General features: G+C 37.8%; 1 pseudogene; it reads left to right on the forward strand.

Moving 5' to 3' along the window:
- Positions 1-8,349: 8,349 nt before the first annotated feature.
- Positions 8,350-8,525, forward strand: LOC124905061 (uncharacterized; annotated as a pseudogene).
- Positions 8,526-8,957: the final 432 nt, after the last annotated feature.

Below are 8,957 nucleotides of genomic sequence, written 5' to 3' on the forward strand. Positions count from 1 at the left end.
TAGAAAGAAAAGTAGCAAGACAGGAACTACTCCTTCTCTCCAAACAAAAAGAAAAACAAAATGAGATATTCACTATAATTAATATGAATTTGCAAGGGAAATAACACAGTATATGATCTCAGTCTCAACTTATATCTTTATTTCAACTATATCTACTTCAGAAAGGATTTGAAGGGTTTCCAATAAAAGACAAATAAAATGTTATAAATGGTAGATAAATGAAGATCAAATATGACCCTGGTAGAGGTATGATAATTTTCTCTGTCTCGTTCAAGAGCTACACTGGCTGCACCTGATATAGTAGATGCTCAATAAGTATCATTACCTTCTGCCAGGTCCCTCCCAGGACACGTGGGGATTATGGGAACTACAATTCAATATGAGATTTGGTTAGGGACACAGCCAAACCATATCAGTATTACATTTTATTGCAACTATTGGCTCAATAGTTGCACTATGTATTTTTGTTTAAAGTTATTGCTCAAGCGTTTACCATATATATTGTTAACTTATCACAGTTTATTCTTAAGTACTATTATATCATCTCCCAAGTAATATAAAAATCTTACAGCAGTATATAAGCAGTCCTGGCTTTTCGTGGTTCTTATATGCAGGAATTTTTGTTACTGTGCTTTGATTAGATAACATGTATAATTCCTTCATGGACACAGTGCAAATTTCACTTTCCACAGTGTATTAACTACGTGTAATTTCATTCAGTAAAAATTTTGATGCTGGTTTTTAGTACAAAAATTAGTAAGTATTTAATGGACAAGCATGATGATCAGTGAGCAATCATGCTCTCTCTGTGAAAGTGTGCTGGTTATTTGTCGCTGTGTACCTGTGCATCTGTATGAATTTAGTTTAGACAGATATCAAGGTGTGTAGTTGTGTAAACTACTTGTCCTCCAGTCATAAACTCACATAATTTAACTTCTAAAGCACCATCACTGTTGGATAAGTGTCCAAGTCACCTTTATTCATTTGGATACCTCCATGAAAATGTTAAAAAGCTGCTTTTTACTAACAAATACAACTTTAATCGTCCAGCTAGTGGACCAAGGAGTTATTTCAATGTTTAAAGCCTACTGTCTTAGACAAACTTTTCAACAGACTTCTGAAGCTACAACTGGAGATCATGCAATTTTTAGGCTAAGTTTTGAAAGATATATTAGTTAAAAATGCAGTTGAAATACTTAAGCATCATGGCAGCAAAGAAAGTGAGTAATATGTGCGTGCAGTACAGCAGAAACTTGTATTGCTCTGTGAAAATAACATGCAGGATACCAACAGAATGCAAGTGGAGCTATTGGCTCATTTTGCTCCTGCTTGTGCAGAACTTTTCATGTCAGGCCATCTCCTGGGCTACTGGTGAGTTTATGGATCGGCCCAGCTGTAGTCTATCCTGTTGTTCCTGAAGTGGGGTGGAGGTCAGCCAGCAGCCTGCAAAAATGTTAGAAAATAAGAGTCAAGCAGGACTTCTGATGCCCCCAGATCATGTTATTGTTATGATCAGCCATCCACAGCAAGTGTCTTATTTGAATTATATCCGATGATAGCGATGGATCTACGTTGCTGTTTGCCTCTTGTAACCCACAGAGTGAGAATGCAAAATCCAGGGTTAGGAGTGCAGTCAGTGGCAGTGTGACTAGGTGTTTCTCTGTAGGATACTAAGAAAAATACAGCCCAGGAAACTGTTAGTGCTTTCATTTTGTTTCACTATAGGTCTGCCTGGATGATCAAAACAGATGGGAAGGAGCCATGGTGGGGCAATGATCCTCTTCTGTTGCCTCCTGGAGATTCAAGCATTATATATGGAGAGCTATCATCTCTACCCCTCCTCCCGGTTTACTCTCATGGTGAGGTCAGGTAGAGTTTAGCAGGGATGTTCATGTGAATATCGTCTGTGTTTGTGAATAGGCTCGTATTTCAGTTGCAAGCAACATGATAACTTTAAAGTTCAGTTGCTGGTTAATAACTGTCTTTTTTATTAAGTTGATACTGAACTTGATGTCTTTTTGCAGCACTAACAGAGATTACTGGTGCTACCTTTTAGCTTTTGATCATTTATGCAAGCCTAGATCTTTAGCTTTACGTTGCAAAAGGGGTATTTTTTTCAACATTTTTTTGGTGAGAGTATTAAAGTTGACATTATTATGATCACAAGTGTAAACAGGTATATAAGGAAGTGGCGATACATTGTTAAGACTGCTGTTATTCATGATGCTTAGCCAAATGAAGGTGCAATTAATACTGCCATGTAGAACTGGAATAACATCAGCTCAGGAACAGCAAGTTTAGATAGTTTGACTGTAGTGAATTTTCATGAATGGAATAGTTAATCATTTTAGTGGATCTTGGGGGTCAATTCAGGCTGTTTTACTTGATCCACTTCTTATCATTATCCTTACAAAGTCTTCTGAGATAACACAGCACTGATAGTTGCTAACAGACTTTATATCTACCGCGTTATTAGCATTTTATCTTGATACACTGATAAAATAAGCTTCAGGAATACTTAAAAGATTGCAATGGCTTCCAGCTGCCAAATGCTAGATTTAATTATTTTTAGGACCAACATGAGGGTTTAGACACACCACTTGTGGTGCAGCACACATGTATTATCCAAACTGAAATTAGCAATTCAACTGAAGTCCATGTAGAGTCGAAAAATGTGAATATTTGGAGATGATTTGGCTCACTTTATTTTGTAGAAAAGAAAACAGATTCAGGGAAAGGGCATGCATTGCCTAAGGTGATTCAGCAGGTTTGGAGCAGAAACGCAATACAATCTCTGTTCTTTTGCTGCTCAGATCCAGAATTTTTTCACAATACTGAACTACTTATGTTTCTGATTCCTTATTTTTTCTGTTTTATATTTTGCCAATATTGTCTTACCAAGATCCTATTCTTTACCCCAAATATTTAAATTCATTACCACTATTGTCTCTTTATAAGTAAAAGTACTAGTTGTTATTATAAATGATTATTCGATCACTTTTCATTTTTTGGGGGGTCCAGTACAAAGTTAGTAACAAATAAACATTATAGGCCTTGGCAATCCAAGGGGAGCTCAAGTCCTCCAGGGCACGTCAGGAAAAGCCTAAATGACAGCTGAGCTTCGAGTGGACAGAATACAGCTCTCATACGGACTGTTGAGTATTTGATATTCTTCAACAGTTTCATTCATCTTCAGTTTTTTCGTCTTTGAAGTGATGGATTTAGTCCTTGCTATACTCGACTTTCAAGTTTCTTTTGAAATAATTATAGATTCACAGGAAGTTGCAAAAGGTGCAGGGATGTCTTAGGTACTCTTCACTAATTCTCCCAGCGGTGACATCTCGCATAGCCATAGAGCATATCAAAACCTGGAAACTGACATAGGTGCAATTCAGAAAGCTTGCTCAGATCACAACCATTTTGTACACATTTGTTTTTGTATGTATTTGTGTGTGTGTGTGTGTGCATGTGTTCTGTGCATTTTTATCTCGTGTAGATCTCTGTAACTACAACCTCGACCGTCAAGATACAGAACTGTAGCCTCACCACCAGGCTCCAACTTGCAATCTTTGTGGACACTCTGACACATTTTCCTCCACCCGTTCCCCTTGGCAACCCCATAGTCTGTTCTCCATCTTTACAATTTTATTTCTATAATTTATATAAATGTAATTGTACAAAATCGTATTTTTGAAGGGAAGAAACAAGTCACAGATATTTTTGTTCTCACTGCAAAATAATCTTTAACACTCATTTATTTTATGTTCTATTTGTCTCAAAAAATGTGCCTTGTTCTTTCCCATATTTTCTGATATCAGGATAGGAAATCAATAGCAAACAAAACATAATTCCATTCATTTTTTTTCCACAGCTTGGTTTTCACTGCTGTTTCCTAACGCTTATTGTTCCATTTACTCTTTCTCTCTGTTTTCCATCACATAAAAGTAACTTTGTGTTCTTTATCTCTTCTAAGAAAACTTGGTAATGAGTCTTTAATGTGAAGCCCGGACCACCCTTGTTTTGATTTTGTGTTATGGGTGTTCTTTTGTGTGATCGCTTTCATGGAGAGTCCTTGTGAAGCTGGGCTTTTCCAATGGTTTGTCAAAATGGAAATAGATATTTAACAAACCAAACACAAAATGACCTTGCTCCAGGAATGCATCATTTCTGAGAAAACACTACCTCTTCCAACTAGAGACTGTGAATATTACTCATATTATCCTTTACTCCCTTTTATTAAAACTGTATTTTTTTTACACATTTGTATAACTCGGGTAATGAAATGTGAAACTAAGTGATTGCCTACCAATTACAATTGATATTAATGATGCTAGTGGGAGGCCACCTCTACAGTGGCTGTGCCATGTCTAGGGACTTGCTAGCTTTGCTAAGTTACATAGGATTGCCTACGTACTAAATGCAAACTTACTCATGCACATAGGAAACCATTTGTATTAATATGATTAAGAAGCCCTGCCTAACCCTGATGAAAAATTACTTGAAAATAACAGAAGAGAGTCCTTATTTTAAAGTACATTAACTATTGGGAGTAATTACTATCAGTCCAAACATAACTGGATCTAATGAGACTGAACAGAAACAAATTAGACATAATTGGAAGCTAAGCAAAAGTCAATTAAACTCCTATAATTTTACCTTTATAAAAATTATTGAATTAAATGACCTGGATCAATTAGCAGAGGAAATAAAGCCATGAAGAATATTTCCGGGAAACTATTACCTTTTTTGAGGGAAAAATATTGTTTCACTTAATGATTAGAATTTAGTAAAATGTAGCTTAATGAATTTTGCTGCCTTAGCAGTTTAATAACTTCAAATGAAGTAATTATGCAAATTTTTTGATAGCTTGACCTACAAAGTAATGCAGGAGTTGTTTTAGGGAATCCAGGAGTAGAATTTATTTGATAGAATAAAATAACATATTTATAAAAATCAGCAAATTCAGATGGTTTGGAATAAAGATATGATTGCTTTTACTCAATATTCACTTTAGGGCTGGGTTAGCTGTGTGGGGATTGCAGTTGACCTGTTGTAGAAATTGTGTGCTTGGAAATATATCACCACATTGCTCCATGTAGACTCCCTCTGTGATTCAAGTCTTGTTCCTACAGCACTGCTGTCAACCTTCAACCACCGTCACCCTATAGACCCCAAGTCAGTTTGTATTCAGTAATGCAAGTGGTGTTCTGTGCAACTGGTCACCCAAGAACTTGGTGCTAAGAAACTGAGAAAGTGATGACCAAGACAATCTCATCAAAACACAGCCAGGGCCAGTCACAGTATCGTAATTTCTGCTTTCTGGATGTTCAAGGAAATGTAGATCATGACTCCTTCTGTGATGCCTCATTATCTTCAAAAGGAGCTATAAGCGTACACTCATTTCCAAATGTGATGGAATAAGATTGCAGTTTCAATTAGGTCCTAAAGTATAATTAATTATATAATAGTTATAAAAATATTAATTCTGTAAGGACAGTCACAAAGGAAAGAACAGTAGCAAATAGGTCTCAGGAAATATATCAAATGAGATGTTAAGGTGTGATGCAGCTTTGTACATACTATGCTAAATACATTATGTCTGTAATTAAACCAGCTGCATACACAATGTAGGTGTGGCAAATTCTTTGCTGAAACATGTATGCCAGTTTCCTCATTTTTTAAAATGACAAGTGCATGCTTAATCAGGTTAGAGTGGATAGATTATGATATTATCAATGCACTGGACAAATCCATTAATGATACAGTGAGATTTTGTGCAGAAAAATGGAATAGAGAGGTGTGAATCCAAACTTTGAAGAATAAAGAACATACATTTGTAATTAAGAAATATCTCTCACTTTCATCCCTTATGTGCCACACATAGCACAATCCAGCCCCACCCAGCCATGACTCTTACATATATCACTCCTGACAAAGCCGGCCTGGCAATTCAGACCTGGAGCCCAGGGAAAAGAGAGGAATCCCATGATTTCTGGCAAACACTGCTGCTTCTTTTGTAGTGGTGTGAGATGAATGCCTCTACATGCACACAAGTGCCATGTTGAGGGGGATGAATCTTTCAAGATTTGTTTAAAGTCAAATAATGTGAAGGTCCATGACTGACCTCCAGGCCTCTCAGAGCTTCAGTTAACTCCTTTGTGTTAGGGGATGTTAGAAGAACGTTTACAAGTCAGAGCAGGTGATGCTCAGGAGCAAGAGTGAATGAGGAGGAGGAACCCAAACAGGTCCAGCACAGAACATCAGCATCTGAGCATCAAGTCTACCCCTGAGAAAAAGTGGTCCAAAGGTTTGTGTGGACCCCATTCTCCAGGCCTTACAAACCCTGTGATTTCTGCCTCATTCTGTCCCGTCCTGTCACTTTGAGTCTGAATTGGAAGAGAGAAAAACAGTAACTAGATCAGTAAAGTAAGGAGGAGTGAAGAGCAGGAAGGTGGAGGTCGTGATGGTGGAAGATGGAAACCTCCTCGCGTGAAATAGAACAGTTTGGATGTCAGCTGTCACTGCTCTAGATCTCCTAAAACCCACTCCATTTTTATTAAAAATATACATTGCATTTTTCCAGTGTACACGATATCATGTTAAGAGTTCATAAAGTTTTGAGGATGTGAGTAATCAGAAAGGAGGTTTAAAGAACCGATTATTTTGGTGGTCTGGCTCCTTTACCCCAGTAGGAAAAGATGCCATTTTGCTTATGCCCTGTGCTGAATTTCAGAATGCCTGTCAACCCAACACGCTTCAGCATGAACTTTAACTCAAAAAATCAAAAAGTACCAGGATCAATTTACAATCCTAGCTATATGATATTTTAGAAATTACAAAGCCTGTAAATGAGCTATTTTGTCAACTTCATAGATGAGAAATCTAAGAGTGGGTTAGTCAGTTCTCTTAGATTTCTCATATCCATAAAGTGGATAGAACATCTAATTTAGAGGCTTGTTGAAGGATAGACAGAAATGGCATTTACAAAGTATCTAGTGAAACTACTGGTAGGGATTATATGCTCAGTAAATGATGAGCACTATAATCACAAATAATTTGATCTTTGAAAGTGTAAAATGTATTTGTCTGTCCGCTTGGTTTTTCTCGGAGGCATAGTTTCCCTCTGTCACTCAGGCTGGAGTGCAGTGCTGTGCTCACTGCAGCCTCTGCCTCTCAGGTTCAAGTGATTCTCCTGCCTCAGCTGGGATTACAGGAGCCCGCCACCATGGCCCAACTAATTTTTGAGTTTTTACTAGAGATGGGGTTTCACCATGTTACCCAGGATGGCCTTGAACCTTGGCCTCAAGTGATCCATCCACCTTGGCCTCCGAAAGTGCTGGGATTACAGGCATGAGCCACTGTGCCCGGCCACATTTATTTTAATTCAGAGAACAATTTTTCAGTAAGGTTGTACAAATGATTGTCCTACATTCCTGCATGTTTGAAACTCTTTTTCTCTTTTTGTCTCCATATGTGAATGACAGTTTGGCTAGGTATAGAATGCTTGGTTTACACTTTTTATTGTTCATAAATCTATAGTCTTATCTTTGTTCCCATCCTCTATACCAGCTTGAGTAGGATTAGAGTGTGGGATTCACCTATAAAACTCTATACCCATTGAACAAGTCCTCTTTTCCCCCTCCGCTAGTCCCTGGCATCTGCCATTTTACGTCTCTGTTTCTAAGAGTTTGACTACTTTAAAAACCTCATATAAGAAGGATCATGCAGCACTGTGTTTGTATTTTTGTGACTGGTTTATTTCACTTAGTATAGTATCCCCAAGGTTTATCTATGTTATGACATATGAAAGGATTTCCTTTTTTTTTAAGGCTGAATAATAATTTATTGTGTATATACCACTTTTTAAAATCCATTCATCTCTTGACAGATATTTAGGTTGCTTTTACCTCTTGGCTATTATGAATAATGCTGCAATGAACATGAGATGAACAAGCTCCTTTTTTATCTCTTTACTTTTGTTAGAAGCTTTTAATTCCTGATTAATGAGTTCTGAACGTATGCAGAGGTCTCTACCTGGCAGTGACCTAAAGCCTTGTCTTCTGCCACCCCACTCAGCCTTCAGATTCACGTCTCTAGATTCTTGAGGTTGGGAAATGTTTCTCTAGCAGCCATGGTTTTGCATTCATTGGCCATTCAGGTTTTCTGCTTTGCCATCTTCCCCCGGGGGTTTCCTTATCCTCCTGGAAGCACAACTAGGCATTTAAGTCCATGTTGACTGTATTTTACCTGCTATTTCTATGTGTTTTGCAATAAGGGCTTTTCAAGATACCCATAACTTGTGGCTAAAAATGAGGTTTGTTCCAATGTGCCTTAGAAATATCCAGTTTCATACTTACCTGGCAGGGCAGATACCATGATCTTAAAGGCAGTTTTCCCAGGGCAAGGCTTATCCATTCCACTCTGGATCCATCATAGGGATATGCTGATCCCTGGAATTGCCCCAAATGTGGGAAGCTCTACTGCAAAATTTTTGGTAGTGAGCGATGGCATTATGCATTCATGTATGAATTCAACTGAGTATCCAGTTTCATAGAAATAATAATAACATCTTCTATAAAATGTATTCTTGTGTATTAACACATGGGGCTCTCTAGTACTCCTGCTGAGATATATGGGAATCTACCCTAGTTTTGCCATTTTCTCCTAACATCAGTCTACTTCTTTTAATATTCATTGCTTCTCCCCATTTCTGTAGTTCAGTGCATGTTCCTTTCCTCTGCAGGAACTATTTCTCTTTCCTCACCCAACTCATAAATCCCTGCCTCCCACCCTAAGGGTAGGCACATGACCCAACCTGGGAGATCAAAATGTCACACCCCCAATACAGGATTGGTTTGTGAGTAGGCAGATGATTCTGTCCATGCACAGAACTAAGTAGAAGAGAGTTTTTATACCTCAGCTTAGCTTGATGCTAGCAGAGAGCTACTGGAGTTCTA

This window comes from Homo sapiens, chromosome 21 (assembly GCF_000001405.40).
Source record: "Homo sapiens chromosome 21, GRCh38.p14 Primary Assembly".
NCBI classification, from domain to species: Eukaryota; Metazoa; Chordata; class Mammalia; order Primates; family Hominidae; genus Homo; species Homo sapiens.